This window comes from Homo sapiens, chromosome 8 (assembly GCF_000001405.40).
Source record: "Homo sapiens chromosome 8, GRCh38.p14 Primary Assembly".
NCBI lineage: Eukaryota > Metazoa > Chordata > Mammalia > Primates > Hominidae > Homo > Homo sapiens.
The window spans coordinates 95,463,826-95,478,425 of record NC_000008.11 but is presented as its reverse complement, the minus strand read 5'-3'; the positions used below and the strand labels follow the sequence as shown (position 1 = coordinate 95,478,425).

At 37.1% G+C, this 14,600-nt stretch overlaps 1 long non-coding RNA gene across 9 annotated transcripts in view, besides 1 other annotated feature; it reads right to left on the bottom strand.

The window, feature by feature from the left end:
- CFAP418-AS1 (CFAP418 antisense RNA 1) overlaps nucleotides 1-14,600 on the bottom strand; it is a 541,308-nt gene that overhangs the window by 331,718 nt on the left and 194,990 nt on the right. The gene's annotated exons all lie outside the window — the stretch shown is intronic.
- Nucleotides 11,279-12,478: an enhancer, noted in NCBI's record as "P300/CBP strongly-dependent group 1 enhancer chr8:96478176-96479375 (GRCh37/hg19 assembly coordinates)". NCBI's record gives its function as "activates an origin of replication core promoter dependent on BRD2, BRD4, P300/CBP, MED14 and CDK7 cofactors, with strong dependence on P300/CBP, by STARR-seq in HCT116 cells {active_cell/tissue: HCT116}" and the evidence as "EXISTENCE:reporter gene assay evidence [ECO:0000049][PMID:35650434]".

The window sequence follows — 14,600 nt, the reverse complement described above, 5'->3', positions numbered from 1 at the left end:
AGTAGGGATCTGTGTTCCAGCTCCCTGCCTCAGTCAGGCCCAATGCCATATTTCCCATGTCTACATGGGCATTAAAACCTCAGCCTCTAATCCCTTTATCCAGCCTAATATCTTTCAAAATCATCACAGCATCCATTCATAAGTTTACTGCTTAAACCTATTTCTGGCATGCCATGATACCAGAAATGATCTTTTTTCCAGATTAATTTATATATTTTATTTGTATTTGTATAATTATTGCCAGAACCAGAAAACAATCCTGTTTTTATAAAAAGTATCTTTCTCTTTTAATCTATTTGTATGTGTGCATAGAGAAAAGTCCACAACAATGTTCACTCAATGGTTATAACTGTAGTTCCAGATCGTTGAATTAGTAGTTTTCTTACATTTCCTTGTACTTGTGCAAATTATTTATAAATTTAATTAATCAGCTTGTCTCATTTTTAGCTGAAAAAAAATGTTGTTATAGAATAAATATCAGTGTCCTCCCAAGTCTGTTGGAAAAACACTAATCTCCCTAGCTACTAACCAAGGACTTTCATGATTGACCTCACTTGCCTGTGTAGACCCATTTCTCAACAGTCTCCCCATATTCCCTACCCTCTGTCCCACTGGACAGCACAACATTTCCCATACATGCCTCTTACTGTCACATTCTCATGACTTTATTAAGGTTCCTCTCTTGGTCAAAATCTCCGCATGTCTTTACCTTATTAGCAGGTCCCTATATTACTCAACCTTCAAGACCACTTCTTTCTTAAAACCTCCTCATAACCCTTTACTTCCTTTCTTAGTCTTTCCAAGTCCTTAATATACAACACTTGCCATATAAATCACATTTATTTATATGTTTGTTTTTCCCTTGAGGGAAAGGCAGGCACTATGTCTACTATTTTTTGTGCTTCAGTTATTCAATAAATGAGTTCACGAATAAATAAATGATATAAATGTTTACAACTTGCTGAGTTAAAAGCAAGCTTCTCAAGGATTTCATAACTAAGACTGTGGGTGGGATGCAGGTTCATCTGAGTTGCCAGATAATTTTCTTGTCTTCTGTTGGGTGGTAGTGAATTAAGATGCTTTCGCAGCTCTGAGTAATTGTTGAGAATTCGTTAGGGAAGGAATGGCCAATGGTATTCTGTAATGCCCTACACATGTATTGTCTTTGGTTGTCATAGCATCTTCACAACCCACATTTCATTTGATCCATTGAGGTCAATGGGGCAGTTATGTAGTCATCTGTCAATCAGAAAACTGATATCTAGAGCATTTGTGACTTGTCCAAAGACTCAGGGAAACAAGTTTGACCTAGATTTTCTGTTGCCCAGCCCAGTGATCTTTGCTCTTGTCTACTTTACCATCAGTCTCTACAACTCTGCAGGTATCCTGCTCCCTACTGTGATGGCAGTTATAATGCCAGCTATAATGTCATCATGGTAAGAGAGCCATGCATCATAACACTGGTTTTGCCCTGACTTGATGAGTGACTGCATGTCACCTCTCTAGCCTCCAGCCTTTCCATATGCAGCCTCAGTTTCTTCATCTCTAAGATGAAGAGGTAGCAATCTCAAGGTTCTTACTCTTGGTTGTTTCATGAGCCCAAGCCTCTGTGAGAATTTGCTGAAAGAACCATGCCTAGTTTAAGTTCTCAACTTCTTCATAGCCACCTTTTCCAGACTTCTGCCCAAAGATAAGTATCAGCGTCTGGAGTCCTGCCATAAGAGGAACCTGAATCTTTTGACCAAACGACATTCATGTTCCATTCTTTCTACCATTCTTTTTTCTTCAGAAGCCAAAGGGAACAGTTAAATAACTGATACCAGCTAGACTTAACCAAAAATTGTAACAGCATTTAATGCAACCCACGAAAAAAGAAAACTAAAGTCACCAAGCATGGTGCATAAACCTAACACCAAGTCCCACCTGCTTCCTATTTCTCCTGCCTTTTTTCCCACCAACAATTCTTTAAAGCTTTATTATTTCATTACTTAGCATATTTTCAACAAAAACAAACCAATCCACTCCAACTGTCCAACTGAAAAGTGGGCATTTTATCAAATGTATTTTCCTTCTTCTTTTATTTTCATCACATTTTAACACCTTGTAGATTATTTAAGGGGTAGAAAATGAGCCCTTTTTTCTTAAGGAATCATCATACAGTTAATTTTATACAATAGTCAGAAAGCTATACCCTGAATGAGGTAGAAGAACTAATATATAACTTAAAATTCCCTACAATGCTACCATCAATGTAAAATAAGTGTGTTAAATCAAAATGCCACTAAAATGTAAAAGACGAAACAGAAAGGCAAAATCTATTATACATGCATTTATTTGCAGTCTTCATCCAGGATAAACTGGAGCCGACTGGCTTCAATTCTGTTTAATTGTTTTATAATTTTATTTTATTGGAGCACTTTCTTCAAATAAAGAAAATAAACATGTACCTGCTATCAGAGCATGGAGTGAGAACAGAGCTAAGCACTGCCTTGGTGGAACTCGTATAGCTGACAAAAAAAAAAACTTACCAGGACTGACTAGTTGGAGTTGACCTATAAATATGGCACAGAGCCGAAGAAGGAAAGCTGAGTACAACTGCTCAGTTTGTTTTACTTTTCTGGTGAATGACCATTTGTTTTCAAATAGTCCCAAAGCTCATGTCTTTAACGGCCATTACTCCACTGTACTGGCATGCTGCTGAGGGCTTTTCTTATTCCCTAATTATCAAAAAGGGCTGCTGGAATTTATTAAGAAATTATAAGTAATATCCCAAGTACCTTAAAAACCAAGTTTGGCAATATCCTTAACTCATCAATGTAGACTCTCTTGGTCTGCTCTGAAACAGACTAAAATCGACAATGCTGGAAACATCTGAGTCAAAGACAAGACAGCTGGTTATTTTCCAGTAATTATTTTTCCTACGACTTATTTAAAAGTCCTTCACATGGGCACATAAGAACAAACCAAACCATTTTAATTAATAAAATATAATCTACAAGCTATGCAAAGCTACTAACTAATATGGTAGAAGTATAATTCATTCAGATGTTACAGAAAAATTATACCGCCTATTCTGAGTTATTGTGGAAAGTGAAATGTGTAAAAAGTAAGTAAAGAAGCCACATTTGAGATTCAGAGATTTTTTTTTTACAATTAATTTAACTACTTACTAATCCAAGTCAACTCCTATGGCAGTAAGTTTTGTCACAACCAACATTTTGCTCCAGTAAAAATATTTTTCAGAACGGTCTGAAACCCAGCAAAATTCAATGTCAAATCCCAGTACAACTTTAGTTCAAATAGCCTCTAAAGTTGGCTCCAATGGACTTTGACATCGAGTCCCATTTTCCTTCCTTGAAAGTCAATTCTTTTTCTTACATAATTTTATCTACCATCTACTGATCTTTAATATGTCTCAGACACTATACTAACCACTTTATACACATAATCTCATTTAATTACCACAATAACCCTTTGAACAGAAACTATTATTATTCCTGAGTATACAGGGATGTATACAAATGGCACTGAAACTTGGGGAATCTAAGCATTTTGCCCTCAGTCACATAGCAGGTAAGTGATGGAACCCACATTCGATCTCAGGAGGTCTGACTCCAAAACCCATGCTTATCACAAATATGCTAACCAGCCTCATCTCCCACACACACACTATTTTTCTCTATCCCAGAATCTTGGAACAGTTATGATTTTAATGTTGTCTAAGATTATAATCCATAATTTACCTCCATGATAAACTTTCTTCCCTCTACCTAACTAGACTCATCAATACATAAATGGGAAACTTCACAAACACTAGAATATATATATATGCATAAACACACATACATATACATATATAAACTATGCATACTCTATATCTTTATGTCTATATCACACACATGCACACACCCGAGAGAGAGAGAGAGAAAACAAAAAGAAGGGAGAGCAAGAAAGAGATAGAGACAGAAAGACTGGTGATCCCAACCCAATCCAACAAGATGATATTCAACAGAGATAAACACAAGTTCCCACATTTATGTCAGGCACTCTGCTAGATCTGATGTCCCCATCACCTAAGACAGTGCCTCACGCATAGTAAATGCTTAACAAATGTTTGTAGAATGACTGAGGGAGAGAGTGAATGAATGATAAGTGACATTAATAGGTGATTATAAATAGGGGAGACATAATTTTATGTGTGCAATAATCCTCAATGGTCCTCAGTGGCACTAAGGTCAACACGAGTAAATAACTAGATGTGGCCAAGAGTGGTGGTGCAGTATAGTCTGTTTACAGAAGCCTCTACCTGAGCCATGATGGTGTTAGTCCTGACCTCCTTTGCTGCCCAACACTAGGGGAACCTGGATGGGGAGGAGCTAAGAAGAGAATATGGGTGACAGGGTGTCAGAAAGGCTCACCATGAGAAAAGAAGGCTCAGGGAAACCTACACTTTTCAAACATTACAGGGCTATCTAGAGAAAGGGATTAGGCCTGTTTTGTGTAATCTGAAGATAATGAACTAGGAACAACCAGTAGAAGCCACAGAGAGGCATATTTAGCTTCAAAGTAAGGAAGGACAGGCATTCTGCCTCTTTCCCCGTGGTTTTGCCCTCCTTCCTCACCAACTTCCAATGCACAGTACATACTGTGTGTGAGTATGACAACATACTCACTGAAACTGAATTATGCACTGAGTATTGCTGGTTTACAAAAGATAGACATCTGTCTAAGTCCATTTTCTGCTGCCATAACAGAATTCCACAGACTGGGTATACCCACATAGCTTCTGTGAATACCACAGAAGCTGAGAATAAAACAGCGTTTGCCAAAGACTAGGGGAAAGGGGAAAGGGGAAATGGGAAATTTTTCAATGAATATAAAGTTTCTGTTATGCAAGATGAATACATCCTAGAGTTCGGCTGTACAACAAGTACCTATAGTTAACACTATGGTATTGTGAACTTTAAAATGTTAAGAGGATAGCTCTCATGTTAAGTGTTCCTACCAAAGAAAAGGAAGAAGAGAAACACAAACAAACACAAGGACATTTTTGGAGGTGATGAATATGTTTATTGCTTTAGTTAAGGTAATGGTATCACAGTTTGGTATGCTTATATCCAAACTCATCAAGACATATACATTAAAAGCGTGCAATTTTTTGTCTATCAGATTCCAACAAAGCTAAAATGGAGCTTTATTGGGTATGTGACTTATACCCCTCCAGTGTCAACCCTGCTAATCTTGGTTTCAAATAATTCTATCCATTATCTGTCTTACCTGTATGTTTCTCCATCTTGCTATACCTCCAGATAAAATAAACAGACTCCCATCCTCTACTTCAGTCTTTGTCCAAGTTACACTGTATTCACTAAGCAAAATTGCTTTTCTCCTCTACCAAGCCACTAACTTTCTTCAACCCAACCCAGACCAAGGCACCTACATCATGGAAGTTTCCCACATTTAACCCATCCCATCACCCTCCAGAACAATCCCAGCCCAGCCATTACTCTTCCATGCCCTGGGAGTTAAGTCATCTGGTTACATTTCAGTTGATGATATGTGTCTGTTTGTCTCCTCTAATGGCTTGTAAGGCCTTGGGGGTCGAGCTCATGTCTAATCTTTGCTGCATACATCTGTACACTACTGAATACATCATTACTGTACATTACTCTAATCCAATGGGGACTCAATAAAAACTTGTTGACTGACTGATTTAGCACGGGGATGATTATTACGTAAGCCACTTTGGTAAATAAATTTCAAATAATGACCAGCTCACACAAATGTTTTACTAGCTCACCCTCCCCATGGAATTAACATAAAGAATGAAAATCAGCAGTCATTTCTACTTGCCCAACATTAAATGTTAACTCACCCCAAGAGAGTAGCTATTTTCAAGCCTAATTTCAAGTCAAAATGTCTAAAATTGTTGTCATTCTTGGTGACGTGCTGGGAAGATTCAAGAAATGAGGTACCAAATCCAGTCACTTCCACAGGTTATTAACCCCAATACTGCAGATTATTATTTCCAGCACATTACTGATAATAATTCTGACAGTTTATATTTGTTCATGTTTATTCAATGAAAAAGCACTGGACATTCTAACAAAAGCAATTTGATAGACAATGCTTTATTGCTTTTTTATAATTTTATGCTATATTGAAATAAAATTGATTAGGAACTTTATTTGATTTATATCATTCTTTAATAATTCAATTGATTCAATATATAGGAATGTAGCTATGAAAATAATTATCTGCCTACATACTTACTTGAGGCAAGTGTGTGTGTGTGTGTGTGTGTGTGTGTGTGTGTGTAATAAATTTTTAAAATAAATTTAACACATGTTGTTTCTTTTTCCCTTCCATTTTTGTTATCCCATCATAGAAGCCTGTATTGGGAAGAAGAGGATGAGGAATTTTACATGTATAATCATCCCCGCGTATCTGCAGGGGATTAGTTTCAGGACCTCCCTTGGATACCAAATTCCAAGGATGCTCAAAGTCTTTGTATGAAATGGCATGGTAATTGCATATAACCTCTGTATATTCTCATGTATACTTTTAAATCATCTCTAGATTACTTATGATACACAGTAAATACTATGTAAATACTTGTTAGGCTGTATTAGTTTTTTATTTGCATCATTTTTTGTGGGATTGATTTTTTATTATTGCTCTTTATTTCTTCTTATGGCTTTTTAAAATTTTTTATTTCAATAGTTTTTAGGGCATTGTTTCTTTCCTGGAATATTTTTGATTTGCTCTTGGTTGAACCCATGGATGGGGAAGCTGCAAACACTTTCTGTACTCTGTGTCCAAGTTATTTTAGCCTTCTGATATGAATGGGACAGGGAGAGAGTGACACGGCTCACAGTTCAAGGGCATCAGGTAGTAAATGAGTATGGATTGAGTCAATTCCAGTTTAATAGTAGACACAGTTTTCTTACCTAGACCAGTGATTTTAACCAAATAGTTTCCAGGTTATTTTAATTCTTATCTGTGTATGTCATAAACAGGTTTGAATATTTAAACTATCAGTTTGGATTACAAATTTTAAATGTGAATTTGAAGGAAAATGTTTTAAGAGGTACTAAAATACTTGAGAATTACTGTAAAGTGTCATACAGCTAATTATATTTAGCTTATTTCAGACTGTTCATGAGAAAATGGATTAGCCTATCCTCTGCCATGCTGTGAAAAGATAACCTGCTTTGGGTGCTCTGATACCTTTTCAGCAAACAAAAGGTTCAATCACATAAAACACTTGAAGCATTTCAGATCCCAGGATGTTTCTTCAAGTTGGGTCTAGCCTGATTCACGGTGACAGCTTCTCTGAAGTTGTATTCTTTAAGAAGCAATAATTGTCATTTGGGGGCCTTCCGGGTGAAAAGGTAAAACAGAAGCAACTGAGCTAGAACACACAATCGCACAGCAAAAGAAATGCTCAGGGTGTCAAGGGCAATGAAGTGAGTACTTTAATGTGTATTTGACTTTAAAGTCGATCTCTTCATTTTCTCCACTTTCTTAGGCAAATAGCAAATACAACAAACTGTCTTTAAAATTTGAGATGTATTTCAATAAACTTCATATCCAACACACTGGGCTTCTAAGCTCTCCTTATACATATAAATGGAAATAGTTAGACTTTAGATGAAAAAACTCTGACAGAACAAAGAAGGACCATGATCTAATATCAGAATAAAGTTAACAAACGTCATTAAGTGAGATGATTGGTGATGAGTGAAGGTCATGCCCAGTTTACTTTTCACAGTTGACAGATCAAAGTTGTTCTTTCATTTGAGATAAAGATTGAATGCAATTAGCTTGGCCTTGGAAAATCCTTTCACATAATATGAAGGCTCTCTGGAGTCTGCAGTTTCTAAGGCACATGAATGGTTAAGACGAGTCAGGCAGCCAAAGCAGGGCGGGAAAAAATTAAAGATTACATCTCAGTTTAAATGACCTTTCTAAACACAGGATTAAATAATAGGGAAACTGCAGTCATAACAGAGCTTCCGGAAGATGACAGTACAGTATGTTCATGAATATTACATGGATATATAGAAAGATAAACAAATAGATAGACGATGTCATGAAATGATGGACTTGTGAGGTTGGAAGGCACTTTAGATTACTTATGATACATAGTAAATACTAAGAAAATACTTGTTATACTGTATTAGGTTTTCATTTGCACCACTTTTGTGGATTATTGCTCTTTATTTCTTCTTATGGCTTTTTAAAATATTTATTGCAATAGCTTTTAAGGTATTGTAAGGGGTCATGATGCCTAACCATCCATCTGGTCCATGAATTTTCTCCCCTGCCAGGTGGATATCTAGTCCATGTTGGAAGCCTCCACTGGTGAGGACTTCTCTGGTCCTGCTGTAACCATGCCATACCTCTATCAAAAAGCCCTGTCTTTCTGTGACCAGAAGTCTAGATTCATCTATTGTGCTCGATTGCTACCCCTCAAAACTAAACAGAACAAACTAAATCCTTTCACCACCTGGTAATCCTCAACTATTTGAAGATGGTTACCTCACTCCTACCATGACCACTATCACCACTTTCAAGACTTATTAATCCCTTCAAATATTCCTCATGGGGATGGTATCCAGTCTTCTCACTATTCTCATGAGGCTTTGTAGTCACAATCCAATTTTCTATGTACCTCTAAAAATATAGACCTAACTACAGACCTTCAGGTAGACTCTTCCCACGTCAAAGACAATGTCAATTATCACTGCTCTTGCTCTAGGTGCTACTCCTTCCTTAAGTTAGTTAAGTTCTCATAGGCACTTTAGGTAGCTACTATCATTTGAGCAACATTTCTCCAACCTAGAATAACTGATGTTTATTTCATACTTTATGCTTTACAAATTGCTTTTCTCTCTCTCTCTCTCACTTGACCCTGATAGCAACTTATAATAAAGGTATTATTTTCATCATTTTCATATGATGAAACTAAGATTTTCAAAGGTTAGGCAATTTTTTCTAACCACATAAATAAGATGTGAAGCTAAGACCCAAACCAAGGTCCCCTGACAGTAAATCACGTGCCTTTGTGACTATATTACTCTGCTTTAGACTCTTTGATTCTGTTCTGCCAGTGTGGGAACCATGTCTTGCGACAGAACGAGAGCAGCATGGGAGGCCACATCATGTTGCTTCCTTTTCAGAGTAGTCACAAACCATCCTTTTATTTATACACTCCAGATTCTTGGCCATATTTGACTCAGTGGTCAGTTGGTTATGGTCTAATTCTTTAATTTTGAATTTAAAACTACATTTTCAATATTCCAGCCTTCTGACATCTTCCCTGTACTTAAAAATCAAAGAGATAACCAACTGTTACTCAAGGTCCTATTAAGTTCAGAGCTCATCATGTGATGTATTTGCTATTACTTAAGACCTCCGCAAATGTAATGATTTGCTATATGCTTCCATGCAAGACATGGATTTTTTAAAAAACTGAGAGGACTGGGCCGAGACCAGTGACTTAGGAAACTTAGAGACCTTTGTGACTTCCCTTCAACTCAGGAGCATGACACAACACCCTAGGAGGCACATCAGAGTCCCCATGGTGAGAAGCTAGAGAATGTGTAGATTTGAAAATGCATATTTAATACCATAATTTTATATTGAAAAACATTATTGGCCTCCCACAACAAGCTGCAAAAACTGTTTTCAAGTTTACTAATTATGGCCAAGGATTTTGAATGTTTAAGACATACTATTCTTTACTTCACAGTCACCTTCTCGGTGAGACTTTGCTTGGCCACACTATATAAAATTGCAACCTCCTGCACAAACAACTCAAACCCCTCTATCCTGCTGACATTTTAGGACTTACCTACATCTAACATATACGTATTTTATCTTTATCTTGTCTGTTTTCTGAATCTACCGCTGGAATGTCAGTTCCAAGAGGGCGGGGATTTTAACCCTTTTGTTCACTACCATATCCCTAGTGCCTATAACAGCTCCTGAAACATAATAGATGCTTAAAAAACACTTTCTTCATTTGGTGCTGTTGAATGAATGAACGAATGAAAGAAAGATTTTCAAATTATCCCCTGTCAAGGAAAGAAGTAGGGTTGGTGGTGGTGACTTGGTGAAGTCATGGGAAGTCCCTGTGACCACTGCTTCGTTACTTCCCAAATCAGCGCTTTGATGATCTATTCTACACTGTTGACCGGAAATTCAAACTGTGGTTCTCATATCTAGAAAGGGCACTTGACCAGTATCTCATGCACCCTATATTTCCCTTCCCAAACCACTCGGCATTGTGCCTCCCACTGACTGCACACTCCAAGAAGGTGAGGGCAGTGTCCCTCAGTTCCCTGGTACAGCCCCAGCATGGTGCCTGGGACCCAGTAAATGCTTAACAAATATTTGTACATTATAGCATTCATGAAACCACTTTCATGTTTTATTTTTTTAAATTAGAATGCTACTTGCTCATTTCCAATCCTCAAATAGCCCTAACAGTTGTTCATCAATTTTATTCTCTAGTTTTTATAGGATTCTAAGAGTTATTGGCCAGAATTGCTGAGCTAATTGAGAACACATAGGTCCTGCTTCTTCTACTTGGGCTTCAGTTTCCTCTTCATATTTTTTCTACCCAAACAGAAAAGACAAAAGGAAAATAACAGGTAAACTGTCCTTTATTTCTCCCTCACCTGTCTACAGTACATCCCTCACTACAAGCAGCAAGTTTGGCCTGCCTGGTTCTTCTGTTTCTCCCAACACTTTTTTAACTTCTTTTTCATGGTTGCTAGAATGTTCTGAAAGTCCCAGCTTATTTAGGTGTTAGTCTTTCTAAATCTATTATAAGCGCAAGCTACTTTCATGTTCCTTTTATTATATCCTCCACTTTTCCTTGTTTAGGCATAGTTTTTGTGTTGTGTTATGTTTGTTTGTTTTGGCTTTTTTAAAAAACCAGGTCACTAAACTGCTGTATTTCAAGTACTGTTCTTCCTCTGAGGATAAATGCAGCTGCACAGTAAAAATTACATTTATGAGGGCTACCTGGCTTTAAGCCATGTTCTACACTTCTTCAATTTACACAGTGCTTATTAGGCTCCTCAAATGTGGCAGGTAATTGAAATATTTTACATCAGAACCAATATTCTCAATAGAAATAAATAAAACAAGATATGCCATAAACAAAAACTTTCAAGAAGTTTGAAAAGGATATCAGTCAAAATTGGTTTGTTTGGCTTTTTTGCCATATTAACATAGAGAGAAAATGAAGTTTATTAACAAGTGGATATATAAAAAGAGTTATTCATGAAAATGTTTTAAAGTCACTGATAATAACCAATTATCATCTCTGTATGTTTTAAAGTCACTGATAATAACTAATTATCATCTCTGTATGTATTTCTTTTTAGGGTGGAGCTGGATCCTTATTGTGATGTTCCAAAATCAGGACATCCAAAATGGGGCAGAGTAGTGATACTGACTCTCTTTTTTTTTTTTGAGACAGAATCTCCTCTGTCACCTAGGCTGCAGTGCAGTGGCACGATCTCGGCTCACTACAACCTTTGCCTCCCAGGTTCAAGCGATTCTCCTGCCTCAGCCTCCCAAGTAGCTGGGATTACAGGCGCGTGCCACCATGCATGGCGAATTTTTTGTATTTTTAGTAGAGACAGGGTTTCACTGTGTTAGCCAGGATGGTCTCTATCTCCTGACCTCATGATCTGCCCACCTCCGCCTCCCATAGTGCTGCGATTACAGTCATGAGCCACCGCGCCCAGCTGATACTGACTCTTTCAAATGTATGTTTAATCTTTTAAATAGGATGTTCTCTACGACTACCAAATTATTCAAGATACATTTGCTAACACCCAGAGATAAAACTTACACATGATTTGTTTTTGGATTTGGACCTGTCCATATACATGTGCATGGCAGGTGGTCAGTGAGCCACCTCTCCACGTACAAGAATAGAAGACCATCAGTGAGTCACCTGTTCGTGTACAAGTGCATGGCACATCATCAGTGAGTCACCTGTCCACATACAAGTGCATGGCAGATCTTCAATGAATCACTTCCACCAAGGCTTCAACCGTCTTCCTGGAGGTCAGAGAGCACTGGACATTCTAGCACAGTCTCACATCAGTAGTCTGCCATTTCTCCTGCTCACATATCCCTAAAATAACTTAGAAAACTTATGAACCTCTTCACACTTTTTAAGTAGTAATCTGAAATTTTCATCATACATTTGAAAGCATATTTTTAATAGTAGGTAGAAAATCTTTAAAATTCAGAGTAAATAGTTCATTGCACAATGTGATAAAATAGGCTTTTGCTACCTTAGGCAATAATATACCAAATCCAAAAGAAATCATGTATAACTTTTATCCAAGGGTGTTGGCAAATGTGTCTTGAAAAATTTTGTAATCTGAGAAAACACTCCATATTAAAAATTAAATATACATTTTAAAGAGTCATAATTATTAACCTACACCATTTTGGAGGTTCTGAATTCAGAGCATCTCAATACAGATTCAGCTCTACCCTAAATGGAAATATGTACAAAACAGGGCAAGATAGAAAATCCTCACCAATTTGAGATACTTTAATTAGGCTTCTCTAAAACAATATTTCTATTTATGACTTTGTTTGGTCACAGAGGTGTTTACACTCTGGGACAATCCACCAGAATAAGATTCTACTTAGGGGTAAATATGAATACAGGTGAGTTCTCAGAGAGCATTAAAAAAATACAAATGGAAGACAAGCAAAGATCAGAAATTGATTAAAATCAATTTCTGCACACACGTACCACTTGGAAAGTCAACATACACCTTTAGCGGTACACACAGTTGAAAGGCTGGTGTCATGAGCTAGTTCTCAAACTGAGGAGTGTCCAGGGCCCAATGCCCTTTGTCATCCCACCCCATTCCTGGTACCTGAGAGCTGACGTTTCCAGTCTAAAAGATGACGAGAGTTCAGGCCTATGTACAACAAGTTCCCCTTTAAAAGGAAGCCAGTGAAGAGCCCAGAACTTAAAGTAAAATTTAAAAAAAAAAAGATTATACATATTATAAGAAAAAAAAGAGAGAGAGAGAAGACCAATTTTAATGGCTACCGCTGAAAGAGGTGGGCTGTCCCGAATCATTTATGTGAGAGAGAGATCTAGTGACCTCGTGACCTGAGCAGTTCAGATTTCATATACTCTGGCCCATTGTCCTCATGAGAAATTCTACACTTTTCATAAAGGTAACCCATCTTTTGAGTGAGTCATCACCTGTTCTCATAGATGTTTCATAGAAGATAATCTAGAGCTTTTTCACTTTAAGATGAGGGAAAAGAGTGACTTCTAGAAATTTTTTTTTTTTGAGGTCTGATATCACAGCACACCAAACCTCTTCATAGAAGTTTCTTAACCCTAAATGTGGGTGCATGTGTGTACATGTGTTGCTGTGCGTTGTGTCTGAGTGAGAGAGAATGAGAATAAATAAGACTCACAGAGACTTCTATGGTGAAGTTGGAGGTGACAGTGTACTGAGAAATAGTTAATGTGTCTGATTTTATAATAAAACATATTGGAAGAGAAGAGAAAATGATGAGATGCAGCTCTAAAGAGAAATGATACTGATGGAAGTAGTGAAGCAAGGTTTATATTAGGCCATATTTGCAACTTGAGGTACCTTCTTTTAAAATTATTGTAAAATGCAAACTTCTATAGGCAATGCAAAAATTATCCTTTCAAATCAAAAGCAGTGCTTTGGGAATCTGGAATCAAACCATTAGATTAAGCCTATAAAATCAGAGCACAAACAGTCAAAACCAAGATGCTGCATTTTCAGGAAAACTTGATTAAATGGGTGCAAACACATTTCAAATACCCAGGGATTCTCTGGAATGGGGTTCTAAACAAACTTCCTAGGAAATAATTACAGAACTGGAGGACTGAAACAAAGAAAAATGATTGCAATCCCTTCTTAAATCTTCACCTACAGAAACTACTGTTTTGTAGCCAGGCCAGTGAAGAACCAAGCTTCCTAGAAGTGTCGTGACTTACATACCAAAGATGTGCAACCCAACACATACCATCTTAAATATGAATCCTAAAAGAGACTGGAATAAAGCAGGGAAAGCCGAGCCTAAGAGCTATATGGCATTGGTCAGAATACTTACCATCTCTGGGCCTCAGCTTCCTCATCTGTAAAATCATATTATTCATTTCATAGGATGGTTGTGATGACTAGTTTAAATTACTCCACATGAAGCACTTAGTACAGTACGAATGGCATGAGTTAAGTATTCCATAATGGAAGCTATCATTATTATTATCATTATTCAAAAGACCTAATTTCAAATTCTGTCTTCTCTGCTGAGCAGCTGTATAACTTTGACCAAGTTACATAACATCCCTTGAACTTCTATTACATACCCTTTAAAAACTCCAGAGGTTTGCTCTGAAGATTAATGACATAAGAGAGTCTTAAGCATAGAGCCAGGCATATAGCAGGTGCTCAAAAACATCAGTTGCCTTCATATTCTAAGATAATTTTCAGTTATTTTGCTTTAGTGACCATTTCTTGTCTATAAACACATAATATTCAACCAAAAAAAATGGT